This window comes from Homo sapiens, chromosome 17 (genome assembly GCF_000001405.40).
Source record: "Homo sapiens chromosome 17, GRCh38.p14 Primary Assembly".
NCBI classification, from domain to species: domain Eukaryota; kingdom Metazoa; phylum Chordata; class Mammalia; order Primates; family Hominidae; genus Homo; species Homo sapiens.
In genome coordinates this window covers 5,872,934-5,896,310 of record NC_000017.11, presented here as the reverse complement: position 1 = coordinate 5,896,310, position 23,377 = coordinate 5,872,934, and the positions used below count along the sequence as shown (strand labels likewise).

The 23,377-nt window shown below is 45.5% G+C and overlaps 1 long non-coding RNA gene across 1 annotated transcript in view; it reads right to left on the bottom strand.

Moving 5' to 3' along the window:
• The window catches only part of LOC339166 (uncharacterized), a 158,463-nt gene that overhangs the window by 34,386 nt on the left and 100,700 nt on the right, over positions 1–23,377 (bottom strand). Inside the window, exon 3 of the long non-coding RNA NR_040000.1 lies at positions 7,481–7,554. This is a non-coding gene — a long non-coding RNA (uncharacterized LOC339166). The remainder of the gene's footprint in view (positions 1–7,480; positions 7,555–23,377) is intronic.

Below are 23,377 nucleotides of genomic sequence, written 5' to 3'. Positions count from 1 at the left end.
CTATTTTCATAGCTGGATCATTCATTCATGTTCATACAGCCAGGTCCATTCATTCATAGCCGTTTTCATAGCTGGATCATTCATTTTCATACGGCCATGTCCATTCATTCATAGCTGTTTTCATAGCTGGATCATTCATTCATGTTCATATAGCCGTGTCCATTTATCCATAGCTGTTTTCATAGCTGGATCTTTCATTCATGTTCATACAGCCATGTCCATTCATCCATAGTAGTTTTCATAGCTCGTTCATTCATGTTCATACGGCCATGTTCATTCATCCATAGTTGTTTTCATAGTGGGATCATTCATTCATGTTCATACAGCCATGTTCATTCATCCATAGTTGTTTTCATAGCTGGATCATTCATTCATGTTCATACAGATATGTTCATTCATTCCATGGCTGTATATTCCATTGTCCAAATATAACAAAATTAATGTATCATTTGAGTAAGTTGGTTATATACATCTAGCAGTGGACTTTCTGTGTCATCATGTGTGTGCATTTTGTTTAAATTTTGTGTTCCAAATGGTTTGGAAAGCAGTGATACAGCTCTGATGAGTGGAGCAACACCAAGGTTCTTCGTTTTGAGTTGAATTGGAAAAAACGACACCCACGCATGTGGAATGGTTTTAAGGAGCAGAGAGTTTAACAGGCAAGAAAGAAGGGAGAAGAAAGAAGGAAGAAGTTCCCCTGTGCAGAGACAGAGGGAGGGGGCTCCAAAGCCGAGGGAGGAGACCCCATGTGCCGCGGATACTAGCCAGTTTTATGAGGAGGCTGGAGGAGGTTGTGTCTGATTTGCACAGGGCTCGGGGGATTGGTTTGAGCAGGCATGTCATTCTCATAGCCCATGAAAAAACTGGCCCTCCCACTTTAGCCTTTTAATATGCAAATGCAGGGCTCCATGATGTTCTACACACGTGGGGATATGTGGGGGTGGCCATGCTGCCAGGCATATGTGGTGGCAAGGAAGAAGATGGCAGAATCCCCATGTTTGGGTGGACCCGGTTTCTAATGTCTGGTATTTGCATATTAAAGGTTGCTGGCCCAGGTCTAAGAGCCAGGGCTTTTCTGCTAGACCAGAAATGTCTCTGGGCCCAGTGCAGTGGCTCACGCCTGTAATCCCAGCACTTTGGCAGGCCAAGGTGGGCAGATCATGAGGTCAGGAGATCGAGACCATCCTGGCTAGCACAGTGAAAACCCGTCTCTACTAAAAATACAAAAAATTAGCCGTGCGAGGTGGCGGGCGCCTGTAGTCCCAACTACTCGGGAGGCTGAGGCAGGAGAATGGCGTGAACCCCAGGGGGTGGAGCCTGCAGTGAGCCGAGATCGCGCCACTGCACTCCAGCCTGGGCGACAGCGAGACTCTGCCTCAAAAAAAAAAAAAAAAAAGTTCCAGTTGCTGCTCCACATCTTCAACAACAATTTATATCATCAGTCCTTAACTTTTAGCCGTTCTGGTGGATGAGTAAAGGATCTCAGCTGTGGTTTTGATTTGTAGCTCCTTGACTAATCAGAGCAAGCTCCTTTTCCATTGCTTATTGGCCATCTGGATTGCCTTATTTGTGAGGTGGCTGTTCCAGTGTTATAGTCATTTTTTCATTATCTTTTTTCTGATTGATTTGTATGAGTTATTTATATATTCTGAAAATGAATCCTTTGTTGGACATATAAGTTTCAGACATGAGGGCTGAGAAGGCTTTCATTTTACCAGATGGCTAGAGAATTGTTTCAGAAAATTATACCTTTACTGTAAATGAAATTCTTCCATGTACTTGGGTCTATTTCTGGAATCTCTATTGCTTTCATCCACCTGTGTGTTTCTTCTCCATTATTAAACTGCTTTATTGCTGAGTTTCAGATGTTTTGGTATCTTATCAGGCTGGTCCCATGTCAGTAGTTTTCTTCTCAGAATTGGCTCAGTTATTTTTTATAGTTTTTTTGTCCAGATGAACTTAGGTTTTATTTCAACAGATTCCAAAAGAAGAAAAATCCTGTGAAATTTTATCAGAATTTCGTTTCTCAGTTAATTTTGAGAAGCACACTCATCTCTGTCAGGCTGAATATTCCTTTCTAGAGCCAGGTCCAGAGAGTTTGAAGCAGTCTTTTCTGTATGCCTCTCAAAAGAGAGTAAAAGGGGTAATGATCTTCATAAGGGTAATGATCAGCTCAGGCTAAACGTGTACCTACATTTTGTACACTTTTTTATATTTTCCATATTTTCTAACTAGCTATTTTTAGCATACAGCAAAACTGTTGGTCTCGACTATTAATGTTGAAATCCACCACCTCACTGAATTCTTCCATTGTTTCTACAATGGCTGACAGTTTCTCAGCCAGCTCTTAGAATCAGCAAGTATATGGCCATTATTTGTGAATCACAACACTGGACCTCCTCCTTTTCAATATTTTTGTCTCTTGTCTAATCTCATTGACTCGTGCTGTGAGAACAATGTAAACTCCACAGTGAGGTTACCCACGAGGCCACGGAAGGAACTGTGAACATAAACCAGCAAAACTGAGAGGATAAAGGTGAGGCTTCTCAACCTCAACATGACTGACATCTTGGGCCAGATAATTTCTTATTGTCGGGGGCTGTCCTGTACATTGAGGGATATTTAGAAGCATCCTTGGCTGCTACCCACTAGATGCCAATAACACTGACCCCAAGTTGTGAAACCATAAATGTCTCTAGACATTCCCAAATGTCTCTTGGGAGGGAAAATCACTTGGAGTTGAAAAACCACTGTTCTAAGGGAAAGCAGCTGGCTCCCCTCCCCTTGAGCTGCTTTGGAGCAAATCACCACAGGGCATCTGTCTTCTCTGTTCTCTTCATTTCAGAGTCCCCAGGGCTATCAGCCCTTTTATCTTCGCCTTTATTCCACCCCTCTTTGACCTCAGACTCAAGAAATCTAGGATTTTCCCCAGCCATCCTTTGCAGATGCTGTTCTCATCTTGCATGCCCTGAATTTAATGAGGATGCATCTCATCTTCTACCATGGTTTTGATTTCAGCTAAACTTTTTAAATGGTGCTAAGAAAATATCAGTCTGAATCAGTTAGACTGTTTTTAGTTGCACGTAATAGAAAACCAACTCAAACTGGCTTACAAAATAAAGATGATTTATTAGCTTGCATAAAAATAGCCCAGTGGTAGTTAAGTTTCAGGTGCAGCTTGATTGGGGCTCCAGTTTCATGTCCCTGTGATTCTCCGAGCTCCAGCCTCTTCTGCATGCTGGCTCTGTTGTCTAGCTGGCTTTCCTCTTAGAAAACAATAATGGCTGCCCTGTTCCAGACCTAACATTTGCACACCATATAACCCAGAGAAAAATAAGGCTTCTCTTCTTCAAAGCTTTGAAGGCAAAAAAAAAAAACAAAAGTCCTGGTATTTACTCTGATTAGAACATCCTAGGACTCTTTGTTTATAACAATCCTAGTGATTGTTTATACCAATCACTAAGCAAGAAAATATCTTGCTTAGCTATTGTCCATCCTTAACTACTCACTGTGGCAGTGGAACTCCACTAACCAACTTGGGGCTTAGAGAAGCGGTGAAGGTCGTTTCAACCCAAACCTTTATATACTTGCAATGGGGGAGGGAAGGATGACAGTGGGAAGCACACCATCTATTCCCATTACGTAGGTTAGTTCATTGGTTTGTGTTAAATTAGTGGTGAATATTGAATTCAATTAAAATTCCTTTTTGGCATCCATTGAGTTGATCCTCTGGTGTTTTCCCCCTGTGATACATTAAAAAAATGTACTATATTAATAGATTACATAATTTTGAAAGGCCTTAAATTTGGAGGAAGAATCCCCTTGAATGTGGTGTTTTATTCCTTTAATATGCTATGGAAATTTCTACCATCGTTTTGTTTAAATTGTTCTTTATGGTGGTTGTGACATTGGTCTGAAGTTTTGTGTTTTTGTGCTAACTTTGTCAAATTTTGGCATGCTGGTTTTATAAAAAGATTTGGAAGACATCCTTACTTCTCTAGGTTCTGGAAGGGTTTAAATAGTATCAGAATCATCTGTTACTTGAACTTTTGTAAGAATTTACCTTTGAGACCATCTGGATCTGGCACTTTTGTGGAGAGGTAGCTTTTTTATAACTTTCTCAATTTCTTCCATTGTTTTTGCTCTATTTAGGCTTTCTACCTCTTATGGGGCTGATTTTAGTCATTTATAGTTCCTAGAAAATATCTATCTCGCGCATTTTTTCAAATTTACTTTGACTAAATTTTTTGTTAAGTTTTTCTGTCCTATTCAATTTCTTTTGGATCTGTGGTGTTTTCTCTTGTTTGTTTCTAATGCAGTGGATTTGAACCGTCTCCTAATTATTTCTCAATTTTATTGTATTTTCCCTCATAAACTTATTGAATTTATTTATCTCAAATAAATTCATTCTTGATTTATTAGCTCTACCATTTTTATTTTATAAATTCATCAATACTTTTTTCTAATTTTTTTGCATTGATTCAGTTGATCTCTAACTTTTCATATTGGATGTTTAATTCATTTGTTTTATTTTTTTCTTGTGTAATGTGCTCTGTAATATTGCAAGATTTGATTGAATAAACAAGAGATTCTAAGGCCAGGCATGGTGGCTCATGCCTGTAATCCTAACACTTTCAGGAGGATAGCTTAAGGACAGGAGTTTGAGACCAGCCTGCGCAACACAGTGAGACTCCATCTCTACAAAACGTTAAAAAAAAATAAAATATAAAATAAGATACAAAATATTCTAGTTCTCAGACACCAAAGTAAGATGAGAGATGGAGACCATGCTGAATATTTAACGGAGGTAGCCTAGAACTAGTTAGGTGAATGACCACGATAAGGATACAACAGGATTGAATGATGAGCCTTAGAATACATTTTGGAGGAGCATTTATTTGTAGAGAGCTATGCTTTAAGTCAGACCCTACTCTGAAGGGTGGCATGAACAATGCAATCTCCTGACCCCAAGCTACAGAGATGGTTAGAAGAAAGTGTGTGGGTTCTGTACAGTTGGGAGCACAGAGAACTGGTGCCTGACCCACCCCTGAGAAAGCTAACACAGCCTGCGGCAACGAGGTAGAAGTCTGCCACTAGGAAGCCACAGCACTCCCATCCCATGGGCACTGAAGCTGAGGGGTCCTCAGGAGGCCAGGCAAAGACAAGGCTGTGCCCCAGAAACAAGACTGGCAGGGGCCCAGTAGAGAAATTGCCAAAGGAACCAGGCAGGTGCTCTAAGAAAGAGTTAACTTTAACCACATTTCAGGTACAAAACTTGGGAAGCCACCTTAGGGGAGTTCTAGTCCAGAAAGAGTTTTCTGTACCACGTTCTTTCTCCTCCTTTCCCTCAGCTTGAAACCAAAATGAGTAGGAAGTGGGCGTGGGAAGGGAGATGTCAGAAACACTCTTACTCACTTAAAAGTATGTTTGTGCTCCAAAGTGATGATATCAAATTTTTTAACTACCTGAGAGTTATCAGAAAAGTAATGAGTATGCTCATACATTCATTGGGTGTCAAGGGAAGAACAACCCAACCAAGCTAATTAAAAGGACAGTCAAATATAAAGACGTTTTCTAATTAAATAGGTCCTAGTTTTTAACATGCTGGTTACTGGCTACACGTGATTGATGTCTTAAGCATTTTAAGAGTAAAATTTCTCTCCAAGCTATATTTCTAAGCATCAATACATAGTATTTTCATTCTCATATATTCTTATCTTTCAGAGATTCTTCATTTTCAGGTTCATTTATTCTTTAACCCAGAAGTTAATATAAGAAAGTTTTTCTTTAGTTTCTAGGTCATTGATTTGCAAGGGTTGCTATTGTCTTGATGTTGCTTTTAGGTTTTATTGTATTGAAGTCAGATGACATAAATTAGACATTGGAGTCATAATTTACAAAGGGGTTAGGTTCTAAGGATAGTGTGTGAGAAAAAGAATTACACATTCTGATTCTCTTACATTTTTCTTTGCTGCTCTTTATTTTCCCCTCCCATCTAGAAATCTTTAATATCACCTCTCAACTCCTCATGACATGAAATGTCACAATAGTTTGTGTTAATGTGAGTCTTTTGCCATTCAGTATGCTGGTTCTTTGTGTATATGTATCCCTTATTAATGGGGACTTTTCTTGTATTATTTCTTTCATAAGTTTCTCTTCTCCATTTTTCTCTGCTCATTCTAGAACTTCTATCAGATATTGGACCCCCTGGAGTGATCTCCTAGCATTGCTATTCACTCATATTTTCCTCATTCTTCCTTTATGTTCTCCTTTCTTGGAGATTTCTTCTGATTTAGCCTCCAATCCTTCTCTTAATTTGAAAAACAGAAACCCACAATTAAATACTTTTTGCCAAACAAAAGAAGCCAGACACAAAAAGTCATACCTTATATGATTCCATCTATATGAGATGTCCAGAATAGGCAAATTCATAGAGATAGAAAGTAGACCAGGGGTTGTCATGGGTTGGGGAGAAATGGGGAGTAGCTGCTTAGTGGATACAGGGTCTCTTTTGGAGTTTTGTTTTGGAACAAGAGAGAAGTGATGGTTGCACAACTAAATGCCTTAAATGGTTAACTTCTTTTAATAAAAATTCCACTTTAATAAGAAAGTAAAATAAATGTTTCATAAAAGCAAGTGAAGGAGAAAAAAAGAAATCAGTAATCATGCTGTAATGTCCAAGGTCTCTTTCTCATTCTCTTAATTTTATTTTCCATGGCATTGATTTTGTGGTTTTTTTAATGAATATAGTATCCTCTCAAATACCTCTGAAGACACCCATTAAACTTTTTTATTCTCTTTTGCTGCTTGTACTACTTCATTTTAGAATTATTTTTAGATATTTATTTATTTTTATCTTCTTTTTTCCTGTTACAGGTTGGGTAGTTTTCAAATATGTTCACAAATCCTTCGATTCTCTTCCTCTCAAGAGGTGAAGCCCAATTCTCCTCCACAGAGCATGGGCTGGACTTAGTGATTTGTTTCTAATGAATGGAAGAAACTGGAAATGATGGTATGCAGCATCCAAGACCGGGTTGTAAAAAGTTTCCTCCTTGCTCTCTCTGTCTTAGATCACTCAGTCTGGGGGAATCCAGCCGCCTATCATGAGGACACTCAAGCAGCCCTGTGGAGAGGTCCATGTAGTGAGAAACTGAAGCCTCCTGCCAACAGCCAGCAAGGATCTAAGACCTCTTTGCCTATAGTCATGTGAGTGAGTCATCTTGGAAGTGGATCCTCCTGTCTTCAGACGTGCACCTCATAAGAGATCTTGAACCAGAACCACCTGGCTAAGCCGTTCTCAATGTCTGACCCACAGAAACTGTGAGATCAGAAATGCTTGTTGTTTTAAGCTGCTAAGTGTGGGGGCTAATGTATTGCTCAGCATAACTCATACAGAGGCTTTCCTCAAATATTTGATAAGGCCCTGTTTAGTTGTTTTCACAGAAGGAGAAAAAGGAAAGTTGTGAGAAGCTGTGAATACCTGGGCAGAGCTTGTCTGCTTGTGGGTGTTGCTTCAGGGTGATCAGGTAGGGAGATGGCCAAAACACTGAAGACCTACAAAGGGTAGAAAGAGGAGATCTCTCATTCAGTTCACCAAGGGCTTCAGGGTCTAAAGTCTCTCTTGGTTCTAGAAGGCAGATGGGCATCTCCTTCACCTGTATCCCCTCCACTCTAGCTCTACCCTTCCCTGCATTGCCAATGACCACTGCACTGCCAATACACCCTTCTAATTGCAAGAAATGTATTGAAGCCTCCTCTCGGCTGTTAGACTTCCACCCACTGTCTTTGACATCATCAGCTACACTTTTTTTTTTACCTACCATTTTATTGGATCCCTGGAGGAAGATAAGATAATGTCTAGTAATTTAACCACAAGTCCCTCCCTTTAACTCCTAATCTTTGCATCGGAGTCTCACTCTGTCACCCAGGCTAGAGTGCAGTGGTGCTATCTTGGCTTACTGCAATCTCTGCCTCCCAGGTTCAGGCAATTCTCCTGCCACAGCCTCCTGAGTAGCTAGGATTACAGGCATGCACCACCATGCCTGGCTAATTTTTGTATTTTTAGTAGAGACAAGGTTCCACCATGTTGGCCAGGCTGGTCTCGAACTCCTGACCTCCAGTGATCTGCCTGTCTCAGTCTCCTAAAGTGCTGTGATTACAAGGCATGAGCCACCACGCCTGGCCTGCATCACTTTATTTTTAACTCATCTCTTGTATACAACTTATAGTTAATTTGTTTGCTTAACCAAATCTGAGGCTTATTTTAACAACTGAATTTGTCTCATTTGTTTTATATGAGTAATAGACATATTTGGTTTTATTGTATCCTCATTTGTGTTGCTTTAAATCTTTCTTGGTGCTCATTCCCTACATGGGTTATCGTATTTGACTGTATGGTTTCCTTCTTATGGATTAGAAAGTGCATTAAGTCTATTCTAGTCTCCTAATAGTTGTCTTTACAATTTTTTTTTTTAAGATAGAGTTTCGCTCTCTCACCCAGGCTGGAGTACAGTGGTGTGATCTCGCCTCACTGCAACATCCGCCTCCTGGATTCAAGCGATTCTCCTGCCTCAGCCTCCCAAGTAGCTGGGATTACAGGCACCCGCCACCACACCCTGCTAATTTTTGTATTTTTAGTAGAGATGGGGTTTCACTGTGTTGGCCAGGCTGGTCTCGAACTCCTGACCTCGTGATCCGCCTGCCTCCACCTCCCAAAGTGCTGGGATTACAAGCATGAGCCACTGTGCCCAGCCGTCTTTATAATTTTATGAGTGATATTTAATCCCGGTATCTTAGCTGTCTCGGTGTCTTACTGTAAAACAGAGGTCTCCAAACTTTTTCTATAAGGGGCTAGATAGTAACAATTTTAGGCTTTGGAGGCCATATGGTCTCTGTCACAACTGCTCACTTGTGCTATGGTAGTATGAAAACAGTCATAGAAAACACGTAAATGAATGAGGAGGCCTGTGCTCCAATAGAAATTTATTTACAAAAACAGGTGGTTTTAAAAAAGAACAGGTGGCAAGTCAAATCTGGCCCATGAGCCATCATTCGCCTACTTCTGCTCTAAAAGATGAGAAAATCGTCACACATATCTTCATGGTGTTGATATCATGCGAACATCATGCAAGATGCTAACATTGGGGAAGAAGAAGTGAAGGGTGCATGGTGCATTTCTTTGCAACTTCCTGTGAATCTATAATTATTTCAAAACAAAACTTTTTTTAAGTTCAAGGAATTGACACAAGGAGGGAAAACTATTTTAACAAGAGCCACCTTGCCAGGTACGGTGGCTCACGCCTGTAATCCCAGCACTTTGGAAGGCCGAGACCGGCAGATCACCTGAGGTGGGGAGTTTGAGACCAGCCTGACCAACATGGAGAAATCCCGTCTCTACTAAAAATACAAAATTAGCCGGACGTGGTGGCTCATGCCTGCAATCCCAGCATTTTGGGAGGCCGAGGCAAGCAGATCACCTGAGGTCGGGAGTTCGAGACCAACCTGACCAACATGGAGAAATCCCATCTTTACTAAAATACAAAATTAGCCAGACGTGGTAGAACATGCCTGTAATCCCAGCTACTTGGGAGGCTGAGGCAGAAGAGTCGCTTGAACCCGGGAGGCGGAGGTTGCAGTGAGCTGAGATCGCACCATTACACTCCAGCCTGGGCAACAAGAGCAAAACACTATCAAAAAAAAAAAAAAAAAAAAAAAGCCACCTTGAACAAGTGTGGAATTATGGAATTATGCAATGGTTATGGAAGGACAACCTTCCCTGGGGTCCAGTCTGAGGGGCCATCACCATCCTGGCTTTCTAGCGGCAGGAAAAAATAGCTTCTAGGGAGGCTGCAGTTTCCTGGCCCACAGCAAAACTGGTCTGATATGTCTGTAGCTTGCCATAGAGAAGACCTGTTCTCCAGCCATCTGGGAGTGACAGAAATCAGTTGTTTCAAGAGACTGGCTGATCCATATAGCTATAGGGATCAGAGCTTTAGTAAGCCTAAGCCCTAAATAATCCCTTTATTGTTTTTTTTAATTAATTAATTTTTTTTTTTTAAGAGAAACAAGATCTTGCTCTGTCACCCAGGCTGGAGTGCAGTGGCGTGATCATAGCTCACTGCAGCTTCAAACTCCTGGACTCAAGGGATCCTTCTGCCTTGGCTTCCCAAAGTACTGAGATTACAAGTGTGAGCCATCACATCTGTCCCCATTTATTCTATAGATGGGAGACTAGACCCACAGTTACAGAGTGAGTTGGAGGCCATGCTGAGTCTAGAGTCTCGTCTTAAAATTTTCCCAGCCTGGGCTTTGTAACTAGAACAACCATCTTATGCCATCCGAACCCCCTCTGTCAAGAGGCCTCTTTCCTGGAGATCTAGGTGCCTTAGCCTTAGTATGTACGCAGCTTACTTTAACGTTGCCTTGAGAATGCCCAAGAGCTTGGAAGCCGGGCAGGAAGGGCAAAGCAGTGTGGGCCTTGCAGTTCACATTGCAGAGGAAACAGCACCCAGAGGCTAAGGAGCTGGAGGTATGCAGTGGCTCTGTTCAAGCCGTGGGCCCCCCATCATAATGTTCCCCGGTTCTCAACATTGTTTGGGAGCTTTCTCTTCTATGATAGGCATCTCATGATTGAACCAAGAAATACTTACTGAGCACCCACTCCAGAGCATACACTGGGCCATGCAGGGAGGGATCAGGCAGTTTGCACAAGACAGAAAGGTCCCTGCCTCTGTGGAGCTTACAGTCCAGTGGAGTATTGGTCCCTCATGGAGCCCACCCAAAGGATACAGGACAAGCATCTTTTCTCTGCCACTGTCCAGCAAGTGAAGATGCAGAGGGAACCCTTTGGCACCAAGCGGGCCCATGACTCTGAGGGCACAGTCCCATGTCTCCCTGAAGGACCTCCCAGGATGGACGGGCCAGTGGCTGGGATAAGAGAGCAAAAGCTCATGCTGGAGAAACACCCACCCGCCTGAGGTCAATCCTTGCAGGACATACTGTCCCGCAGTACTGCTGGACCCATTCCCTGGCGTCCTTACCACCTAGCGCAGCACTCAATAGTTACTTCTTAAATAAAAGGATGAATGAGGAGATTAAGTTAACTTCCTTCAGCTTCAGTTTCTTCTTTTGCAAAATGAAGAGTGTTATAGAGATCAAATGAGGAAGCCGGCTAGGAAGCTAGGAAAGATTTTTGCAGAGCTTTGTGTGTTCTGAAACACAAAGAAGTGAAACAGAATCCAGATTCCAAAGGGCTTCAAGAGGTGAGATGAAAGGCTGCTCCCAGCAAGGAGAAACACACATGGGAAATGCAAATTCCCATGCTGGGGCCTGAAACTCAGCCGCACAAGAATAGGCAGCTACCAGGCCAGGCATGGTGGCTCACACCTGTAATCCCAGCACTTTGGGAGGCCAAAGGGGGTGGATCATGAGGTCAGGAGTTCAAGACCAGCCTGGCCAACATGGTGAAACCCCGTCTCTAATAAAAATATAAAAATTAGCCGGGTGTGGTGGCGGGCACCTGTGTTCCCAGCTACTCAGGAGGCTGAGGCAGGAGAATCACTTGAACCTGGGAAGCGGAAGTTGCAGTAAGCCAAGATCACGCCACTGCACTCCAGCCTGGGTGACAGAGCGAGACTGCATCTCAAAAAAAAAAAAAAAAAAAAAAAAAAAAAGGCAACTAGCAGAACAAGGCTGAGAAGAAGCCTTGGGCGGGGTGGGGTGGGGTTGCAGGTGCGTGCAAAGAATTTTCAGATTATGTTTGCCCAAAGACTTAATGGAATCTTAATAACATTGATGGTGATGGTGATAACTAACCCCTCTTGAATGCTTGCTCTGTGCTAGATGCTGAGCCACGAACTTCACATGCACATCTTGTTTCATCATCTCAGAACCCTGATTCATTCATTCACTCGCTCATTCAATAAATATTTATTAAGAGCCCACATCCTTTACGAAGCATGGTTATAAAGACTATGAAGAAACGTGAACATTTGGACATGACGTTAAATGGAGAAGGAAAGCAATATTCAAAGTCACAACTGAACACTGCAAAACACATGGGGAGGGGTGAGCAGTAAACAAAGGAGACAAAGGCTCTTCCCTACTGGAGCTTATATTCTAGTCACAGCAGGCAGACGAAAAACAAAATGAATGAGTAACATGTAAAGTGGTGTTAAGTGTGGGTTGGAGGATACAGGGGCGGGCATAGCCCTCTGAAATATGATAGAGAGGAAAGACCTCTCTGCGAGGGTGACATTTGAGCAATGCCTAAAGAAGAGTGAGGGGGTGAGGGCAGAGAGTTCTAGGCAGAAGGAACAGCAAGGGCAAAAGCCCTGAGGCAGGCTTGTGTCAGGCATGATGACAGAGGAGCAAGGAGGCAGGATGCCTGGAGAGAAGTGCCAGAGGCAGAAGCAGGAGGAGATGGAGGCGGGTTGGGGGAGGGGGGGTTCTTTGAAGTTATCACAAGAACTTTGGCTTCTATTCTGAATAAGGTTAAGAAACCAAGGAGGAGGGGCCGGGCGTGGTGGCTCACCTCTGTAATCCCAGCACTTTGGAAGGCTGAGGTGGGTGGATCACCTGAGGTCAGGAGTTCGAGACCAGCCTGGCCAACATGGTGAAACCCCATCTCTACTAAAAATACAAAAAATTAGCCAGGCACGGTGGTGCGTGCCTGTAATCCCAGCTACTCGGGAGGCTGAGGCAGGAGAATCCCTTGAACTCGGGAGGTGGAGGTTGCAGTGAGCTGAGATCGCCCCATTACACTCCAGCCTGGGCAACAAGAGCAAAACTCCATCTCAAAAAAAGGGAAGGGAAGGCGGGGAGGGGACGGGAGGGGAGGGGAGGATGGGAAGGGAGAGGAAGGGAAGGGAAGGGAAGGGAAGGGAAGGCAGGGGAGGGGAGGGGAGGGGAGGGCCAGTGAGGAGTGATGGGATTTTACTTAGATTTTAACCTGAGGCTCACTCCATCTGCTGTGTTGGGAAGAAACCAAAGAATGACCTGGACGGATGCAGAAAGTCCATTTAGAGACTCTTCACTCATCCAGGAAAGAGGTCATCCTGGTTCAGAGTGGGGTGGTGGCAGTGGGGTGATGGAAATTGGTCAGAATCTGGATCTATCAGCCACAGGACTTGCTGATGAGTTGGGGTGTAGGGCGAGAAACAGGGGTGGAAGCTGGTGCTCAGGCTTTCCTGTGAGCCACTGCAAGGACAGACTTCCATCCTTCAAGGTAGGGAAGGCAGCAGGAAGAACAGGATAGGGGAGAACATCTGGGGCTCAGGCTTGGATGTCCTACATTCAAGTTGCCTATTGGATGGTCAGTGAAGATGTCAGGGGGACACATGGAGTTCAGAGAACTGGGCTGGAGTCGCCAGCATGCAAGATGATTTAAAGTCATGTGACTGAGTGAGGATCATTACCAGAAAGGGAAAGGTCCTTGCCACCCAGTGAGGTCCCTAAGGGAGGAAGTAACAAAGATAAGAGGCCCAAGGACCGAGTCCTGAGGCAGGAAATGTTTAGAGACATAACAATATAGACGATACAGCAGGTTAAAATGGCCCCCAAAGATATACATTCTACTTTTTGGAACCTGTAAATGTTACCTGATTTGGAAAAGGAGGTTTTGCAAACGTGATTCGATTAATGACTTTGAGAAGGATCCTGGGTTATCTGGTTGGGTCCTAAATCCAGTGACAAGTGTCCTTATAAGACGGGGGCAGAGGGAGATTCAATGAACACCAAGGAGAAGGCTGTGTGGCCACGGAGGAAGGCTGGAAGGATACAAGCCAGGGAGTGCCGGCAGCCACCAAAAGCTAGAAGAGGCAAGGAATGGATTCTCCACTAGAGCTTCTGGTGGGAGGGCAGCCTGCCAACACTTTGATTTTGGCCCAGTGATACTGTTTCAGACTTCTGGCCTCGGGAACTATGAGAGAATAAATTTCTGTGAAATCACCAAATTCATGGTAATTTGTTTCAGCAGCCCTAAGAAACTAACACAAAGGCCATTGGTGAACATGATAAGAGCAGGTATTAAGTAAGTTCTCTCCACATTTTACAGAAGAGGAAAGCAAGTCTCACTAAATTCCCCAAGGTCACAAAGCAGGTAAGCGGAAGGATGGGGGTTCCACCTAGACCTTCCAGGTTCTATGAGTAAGCCCACTCTTACCCATTACCTTTTGCTGTCTCCATCAGTAGACACCCAGGACCCAGCCTCAGTGAGCTGACCCTCCCTGTTCATCCAGCACTGCCCAGCCCACCCTGGGAGCATCCTGCCGTAGCTCAGCCCAGGCACTGGCTGCTGGCCACCGAGCTGTGAGAAAGGTCCTTTCCTACCGTGGACGTCTAGTAGCCCTCCTAGAAAGCAACGGGCAATATGTAGCAACTGTAGATATTCACACCTTCTGACCCCAGGATGCATCTCATTGACCTCTTTCTCAAAGAAGCCACACCCAAAAATGTCATCACAGCATCGGCTATAATAGCATAAAAGTAGAAACAATCTCAGTGCTGAACAGTATAAGCTTAAACAAATTATCATAAATGCATTGATAGATTGAAGAGTAAAAGTAAACACTATGAGGGAACACGGAAAACAATTTTGACACGACATTTACTGCAGAAAGGGGTAAAAAGTATTCAAATTTACAGTTCAAAACTGTAAAAAACATATGGAGAAAAAGACAGAAAAGAATGTACCAAAATATGCATAGTAAGTGGGTTAAAAATGGAAATTTTGACAACTTTTTCCCCGAGTAACTAATTTTTCTATAATTATATTAGCTTTATGATTGATTTTTATATATATAAGAAGGGACACTTTTAGCTTTATAACTTCTTTATAAGAACCAAACCAGGCCGGGCACGGTGGCTCACGCCTGTAATCCCAGCACTTTGGGAGGTCGAGGCAGGCAGATCACTTGAGGTCGGGAGTTCGAGACCAGCCTGACCAACATGGAGAAACCCTGTCTCTACTAAAAATACAAAATTAGCCGGGCATAGTGGTGCATGCCTGTAATCCCAGCTACTTGGGAGGCTGAGGCAGGAGAATTGCTTGAACCCGGGAGGCGAAGGTTGTGGTGAGCTGAGATCACACCATTGCACTCCAACCTGGGCAACAAGAGCGAGATTCCATCTCAAAAAAAAAAAAAAAAAAAAAAGAAGAAGAACTAAATCAGAATGATAAAGACTCATGACTACATGCCATAAATGATTCAGGATCTGGGAGTACTAATTCTGGAGAGGAGCAGACTAAGGGGGTCTTGATTACCATTCTTCAGCACTTGACTGTCATTTGCAGGAAAAATTAGCCTTACTCCGTGTACTACCAGGGAGCAGAAAGAAGACGGATAGGGAAATGTCTCTCTCTTTGTTCAGCATAAGGAAAGACTACAAGAGTAATACTTTCCAATACCTAATAGCCTGGGCTGCCTGGAAGGTGGGGAGCGCCCCTTCACTGGAGGTATTCAAGCCGAGGTCAGAGCTGCAGTTCTCTGATAACAAGGAGGTTGGAAGAAGGCGGAAGAAACCCAAAAGGAAGCAGAAATAGCATGAAAGGGATGATTGGGAACGGGTCAGAAGCCCTCATGGGGCCGAGGCCTTTCCTGCAGTTTTCTATAGCTGGGGCCACTCCTCATCCCTGATGGGTTTCATAAAGGAGACTATATATGGGGAAATTCCCCAAGCTGTAGTGAATGTCATAGAACACAGGAGCCAGAAGACTCTAGAGATCATGTAGGCTGCATCCCCATCACCTCTGAAGACACGGAGATTCAGACAGGCCCAGTATGTGCTGGGGATGCACAGCAGGTCTGTTTAGAGCTGTTTAGAGCGGGGCAAAGGTGTGCTGCCTCCCAGGCCACTCTGCCCTTTGCTAAAGAGCCTGCCAGGGTGGCCAGACTCCCACTCCGGCCCTGCACCACAGTACATGTCTGTTTACCTCCAGAAACAAGAAGAAACTCACAAAGGTTGTGATCCCACCTGGGAAACAAGAACAGAAGCATCAGGGGTCAGAATATAAAGATGAAAGCGATTCCAGTCTGACTTTCTCACTTGGTTCCCTGTATCACACACACACATGCGCGCACGTGCGTGCATGCACACACACACACACACACACACACACACACACACACACACACACACTTGCTTTTCTGGGAAGAAATTAATGACCCCTGGGCCGTTCATTGCTCTTTTACTTGGTGACAAAAACCACTAGTGATCATTCTGGTTTCATACAAAATTAATATTTGATTGAAGGTGATATTTGTTTGGAAATAATGAAATGTCTGTCCAAGCCCAGGCACCACACTGCCCGAAGTGAGAGCGGAATACACCCCATTTCATATTTCATTCAAAGGAAATGCCATCCTGTAATGAAAACAATCGTGTCTATGTCACTGGGCCGGAGTGAGGAAGCCGCAGTGAGGAAGGTGCAGTATTTCCCCAGGAAACACGGGGAAAAGCCGATCAATAAAATCCATCAGACTCACTGCGTTCTGTAAAGCACTTTCTGTATTCATTTATCCCGGACTTGGGAGTAATTATGTCAGGATCTTTTTCCCAAGGACTCTAGGAAAGCAAAGCAACTTTCCACCCAATTCTCTTTCATGAAAGGCTTTGCTTTCTTCGAATGCGTGTTTGCTGTTTATTTCAGCCTCCCAGGCAGCCAAGGGACCGTTCAGGACAAGTTTCTCATCAGCAACAGGTGTCTTATTACTACAGTGGCTCATCGTTAGTGGAACCCCCAGCTTCTGGCTGCAGGAAGTACAGGAAAAATTTGCAAAGGAGGTTACTCTAGCCTTTCTGAAAGTCATGGCCGAGAGCTGATTTCCTATCTCTATTGAGGAGTGGAGGAAGGTGGCCCATTCCTAACGCACTGAAGGGTGAGAGTGGCCTCAGCAGAGACACCTGTTCTTTAAAAAAATGTTTTGAGGCCAGACTCGGTGGCTCACACCTGTAATCCCAACATTTTGGGAGACCGAGGCAGGTGGATCACGAGGTCAGGAGTTCAAGACCAGCCTGACCATCATGGTGAAACCCTGTCTCTACTAAAAATACAAAATTAGCCAGGCATGGTGGCATGCTCCTGTAATCCCAGCTACTCAGGAGGCTGAGGCAGGAGAATCGCTTGAACCTGGGAGGCAGAGGTTGCAGGGAGCCGAGATCGTGCTGTTGCCCTCCAGCCTGGGTGACAGAGCGAGACCCCATCTCAAAAAAAAAATGTTTTGAGATAATTGTAGATCCACATATAGTTGTAAGAAATAATACAGAGAGATGCCTGCACACTTTGTCCAGTTCCGCTCATTATAACATTTCGCAAAACTAAACAATAATATCACAATTAGCGTATCGACATTGGTGTAGTCCCCCTAACTTATTCAGATTTCCCTAGTTTTGCTTCTCATTTTGTCTGCATGGATTGAGTTCTGTACAATGTTATCGCCTGTGTAGCTTCATGTATATAACACCACCATCAAGATACTGAGTCATGTCTTTCCTCTCATGACCCTTTTAAAACCATCATTTATTTCCCTGTCCCACGCTCCAGCCGGATGCTGAGCTCCTGGGCCGTCGGAACCATCCTATCTGCAGGTGGCACGTGGCACAAAGCCTGAATCACAGCGAGGGCCCAGTTGTTTGAGTGTCCCCTGTCTGAAATGCTTGGGGCCAGAAGTGGAATATTTGCGTTACACTTATCTTCCTTATCTGGAAGTCCGAACTCCAAAACACTCCAATGAGCAATTCTTCTAGCGTGGGGGCCTCAAAAAGTTTCAGATTTTGAAGCATTTCTGATTTCGTATTTTCAGATTAGGGATACTCAACCTGGGCTTGCTTGTTGAGTAATTAACCTCAGCTTGCTGGTCCATGCAACGGGCACATGACTTACCTCTACTGATGCCCACGCCTGGTTCCAGTGCTGGTTTGGTAACTCTGGGGGAATCCCTGAACCTCTCTGTGCATTTCTGGTCCCTCCAACCCCCCGTCTGCTCAGTTGGTGGCAGAGGCCATGCAGACGTCTTGCCCTGACAGCCGGTGGTGCTGCAGGAGGAATAAGCAATCTGAGTCTCGGAGAATTCAGGCCATGTCAGCAGCTGGAACCCAGTCTAGGACCATGGCCAGGCTTGGTCTGGAAGAGAATGCTGTTTTGTTAGCTTTGCTGGCTGACATGGCCCTCGTCCAGGTGGGACTGACCCTGTGACTCTGCCCTCGTAAGCATCATGTTCCAACTTCTGAACTGACTGGGAGCTCACTGCTAAGGTCGTTTCAGTACATCCCGAATCTGTGCATGGCCCGATTACACTTCCAAACAGAGGGTTTCCCTCAGAAACCAGGCCAGTGCTTCCTTTGACAGGGGCTGAGGGCGATTCATCTCTGGGTCCCTCCCAAGCCTCACACACAGGTCACATTTTTTAATCAAGTGGAATGAGATGTCTCTCCATACCCAGGCCAGGGGTTCATTGCAGCCAAACACAATGAAGGGAGTTGGCATTTCCTGCATCTGCAGGCTCACAAATAATTGGACCCCACAGTCAAGCCCTTTGATCTCCTGTCATGTGTCAGGGTGAAGAAGGGAGGACTTGACTGTAAATGATACCAACATAGCCCCCACTCTCATGAAGCTTATAGTCTAGAAGGAAGAGTGATAAGAATAGAAGCAATGAGATCATCAGGGGAGTACGGGATGCTGTAGCATATAAAGGAAAGGCCCCCAACTCAATCTTGGCAGATCCTGGAAGGCTTCCTGGAGGAAGTGGCACCCAAGATGAAACATAAAGGATGAGTGAGATTAGGCAGATGATAAGGTAGAAGGGGAGGGGGATAAAAGTGCTCCATTAAAAGGCCCAAAGAGGCTGGGTGTGGAGGCTCACACCTGTAATCCCAGTACTTTGGGAGGCTGAGGCAGGCAGATCACTTGAGGTCAGGAGTTTGAGACCAGCCTGATCAACATGGTGAAACCCCATCTGTACTAAAAATGCAAACGTTAGCTCGGCGTGGTGGTGGGCACCTATAATCCCAGCTACTCTGGAGGCTGAGGCAGGAGAATCGCTTGAACCGGGAGGCAGAAGTTGCAGTGCGCTGAGATCGCGCCACTGCACTCCAGCCTGGGTGATAGGGCGAGACTCCATCTCAAAAAAAAAAAAAAAAAAAGGCGGGTGGGGGGGGGCGGGGAGCAAAAGATAGCAGATGCAAACAGGAAACTTTTTTTTTTTTTATGTCTGGCTCTCATCAGGCAGAGGGTGGCAAAAGAAGAGAGGCATGAGATTAGATCTGAGGGGCAAGCAGGACCACAGCATGGAGAGGACTTCGGATGTCATCAGAAGGACATGGAAGCTGTGGATATGTTTGAAGCCAGAGAGTGGCATGAAAAGATTTCATGTTAGAATGCTCCCTCTGGCCATCGAGTAGAAAGTGAATGACGAGGAGCCAAGACTGGAAGCCGTGAGGCTGGGCTGGAGGGAGGACGTGAGGCTTGAACTAAGGTAGGGGATTTGGGGAGGAGAGAAGGGTGCAGGTTCAAAAGATACTCAGAGATAGAATTACAGGACTTGGTGATTTCTTGGGTGAGTGAGAGCGAGCAAGGAAGCCAAGGATTTCAGGCTTAAAGACCAGATGCCATTCTTTTGAGAAGTGCAGTATAGATTCTGAGCAGTAATAGAGTGTGTCAGTTAAGGGCCAGTAAAGAAAACAGAATTCTTACTAAGAGGAATTTAAAACAAGGAACCAGTAACAGAGGTGTTAGAAAAGCTGAAAAGGCAAACGTAGGTGAGGAAGCCCAAAGATGGGCAACTAGGGAACGTCTACCACCCCAGGTTGGAGGGTCATGGAAGGAAGATGTCATTTCCAAATCTTGGGAGCCAGGATCCCCAGCAGGAGCCAAAACCTTGAAGGAACCTTGCAAGTGGGGAGCCCCTGGGGGCTAGAACAGCTGCTCAAGCTGCCTGGTGGGAGCTGAGCCTCAGAGGAGGTGCAGCCATGGCCAAAGATGCTCCAGGGATGGGATGGATGCAGGGGATACCCTGCCTTCCCCCTCCTCCCCATCCCCAGTGTCCCACCTGTCATTGGTGAGGGGTGACTAATGGCCATATCCAAATGGAAGCCAGTTGTCAAGGGAGCATGGAAAACCTGGTTTGCAGGGACCATCCAACCCCACCCCACCTGTGAGGGAGGAAAAATAAAACAGAGGAGGGATGGGAATAAACTGGAAAGCAAACAGTTTCCCTAGCCAGATCCCTAATGAGAGAGATGAATAATTATTTCTGCAATTGGTACTAAAATCTGTTATTCACATAATTATGATTCAAGTTTATAAGAATATGCTTAAATTAGGTCAATCCACATGAGATTACTGGTTATTTTTTTTTTAGGTCAAAACCTCTCCAATAGTGGAAATTATACAGGGCTTGATATTATGAATCTATAGAAACCCCTTTGGAAGTCAACACGTGAAGCTGTGGACAGGGTGTGCCTTAAGGTAGCAGGGAGACTGTGCTGGGAATGGTACTTTCCACTCTGACCCTTTGTATAGTCTTAGAATTTGCATGTACAAGTACCTATTTGAAAACATAGGCTAAAATATTTTTATATGATTTGTAGAATATGGTAGCATTTGTACAAGGTTTTGCTTTTGAGGTTAACATTCTAACAGTGATGGTGTGGAGGGAGATGGTACAGGACCCCAGAGGGAACCGGCGAGGCAGGGTGGGGAAAAGGGAAGGGCAGCCAGGGAAGATCAGACAGACCTCCGCCTGGGCACATCCGGAACATTTCAGATTTTGGATTTTTGGATTGGGAATACTCAACCTGTACCTGCTGGTGGCATGAATGAACCTTAGTTTACCAGTACACGCAATGGGCACATGGCTTATCTGGGGTTGGGCGTCACATGAGAGGAGTCCTCTGTGCTCCCCGCTCAGTCATGCCCAGGCTCGGCCCCCTTTCGTGGTGTGGTCCTTTTGGTCATTCTCCATTAACCCCCTTGTGCTTTTTACACGGCCAGGTGGTAGAAGGCCCTCCAGGATTTCAGGGGTTTCAGGAGAGAGGGCCCTAACTGACAACAGAACCCAAACTCAGCAATCAGAGGCGAATCAGGAGGTGGGATAACCGAGGCGGAGGCCAGTCCATTCCTGCCTCCAGCTGGTGCCCCTGTGGACAGTCAACTCCTGCTCCTGGGAAGAAAAAAAGACAACTTTTGGAAGAGCCTGGCCAGACCCATTGGGGGCTCACAGAGAGACTGGGCCAAATCCTTGATTCACATGAGCAGGGAAGAGAGAGAAAGAACCAGGGCCTGAGGATCAGCACCCCCACTGCTAGAAGATGGCTCTGGACAGGGCCCTCCCTCTCTCTGAGATCCTTCTGGATGAGGGGAGTCAAGGTTAACAGGAGAGGAAGGGAAGGTGGGGGCCAGCTGGCTGTCACCCAGGGCTGACCCTGGCCTCGGGGGTCTGGGGAGGTCTCTGGCAAGAGGAATCGCACACCCTGGATTTTCAAGACACATACCCCCAGAGTTAACGGCGTTCACTCTACTGTATTCCAAACTCAGGGTGGTAAGTGGCCCATTCATTTCCTCCCTCCATTAGAGAGATCATCTGGGTGATGGATCTTGTCACTGACAGGGTTCTGGATCCAAGCCTGGGGCTGACGCAGCTGCTGCTCCTGCTGGTCCTCCATAGAGACAGCCGGGGTTTCCTGTCCCAATCCATCACAGGAAGTCTTCCCTGGGCTCCTAGTCACTCTGGGTGGGCTTCCAGGAATGAGTATTTCATGTTAGAGGGGAGAGAGCCCAAGAACTTCTACCTTTAGGTAGCAGGAAGGACAAGGCCTAAAAGAAGTATGTTCCAGGCCTGGCCCCACAGGATTGCAGGCAGGAGAGGAGCTGGCCAGGTCAGGCCCACTGCAGCAGCAAGTGGCTGGTCAAAGTGACAAGTGATCACCTTAACCAATGGGTCAAGGTGGTGACCAGGGTGGCCGAGGCAAGCCTCAGTGCTGCAGACCATGGGTAAGGCTGACAACTGCCCCCATACAGTAGCTCTAAATCAGAGGACTTATGAAGTCACCTGGAAAACTGTTCATCTGATTCCAGCATCCTGACAGATCTGGAGGATCCTGGGAATGTGTGTCTTAAGAGCTCCTGTGGCTGGAGGGTCTGCTGCAGCCTCCATCCTGGCCTCCAGAGAGGCATGTGGCTGTCACCATACAGATGGCTTAGAACCTCTGACACCTTGCAGTCAGAGTCCTCACTACCCACTCTGGCCGTGAGGCTGCCCTGCGGTCAGCCGAAAGTCCCCACTGTCATTTTGAATTATTGCTCCTGGAAACAGAAATTGCATTAAGGCAGGGGCATGAGGAAGTATCCCAGAAGGTCAGATGATGGCATCAAGTCGGGGCACCCCCATGAACAGCAGTGCAGAGAGCAGGTGCCAAGCAGGAGCCTACTTCCCCCTTCCACTTCTAGTGGCTTCCACTCACTGGTCCCATCAGCAGACTAGGGGGCTGGTCCTGGGGCTCCTGAGGCTGAGCTGGTGCAGAGGAGTAGGAAGATGGAGGAATTCAAGGACAAACAAGAAGTGACCATACACACACACACACATACAGACCCATGTGCACACTCCCCACACTCTTCACACTCACAATTAGAAAATACAGAGGAAAAAAATCAGCCTTACAATATTCTGCAGTCATGTGCCTGTGAATACATGCTTTGATTTTTTTTTTCCTTCCTGTATTTTCTAATTTCCTTCCTATTCTAGCAGGAAACCAGCTCAGGGCACAGAACCTTCAGGGAGGTTTATGTCACAGCAAAAAGCAGAAAGACCTATGTGCCTTTCTGGTTTTGGGTTTTTCCTAAGCCCAGTGGAGGACTTTGAGGACTCACAGATGGAACAGAAGAAGGAAGAAGGTGGGATTTGCTGGCAATGAGTGTTTAGGAAAAATGGGGACTATGGGGTTTCTCACACCAGTTAGAGAGAAAGCTCCACCAGAGGTGAAGGAAGAAGAGAGGTCTGTGGTCCTAGAACAGTGGATTCCTGGGCTCAGCTACCTGACACTGACCTGGGTGGGGGTACCAAGATTCCAGGGAGAAATAGCTGTGAGTGTGTGGGGCCCTCAGCCTGGCCCCCCAACTTTGACAACAATATCTGCTCCCCAAATGAGACCTGGAAGCACCAAAGAATTCCTAAGACTGAAAGGACCCTGCATTCCAATTGTGGGTCCCCCCGAGCCATGCCTAGGAGGGGGTACGGGGAAGAGGGGACTCCCTCACCAAGAGCACACCCCGCACAGAGCATCTTCAGCACAGGGGAAGGGGCCGCGGGATGCAAAGCCACGGCCCCACTCTCAACTGCCCATAGATCTGTTGGAAAGACAAAGCATGACACACAAAAGC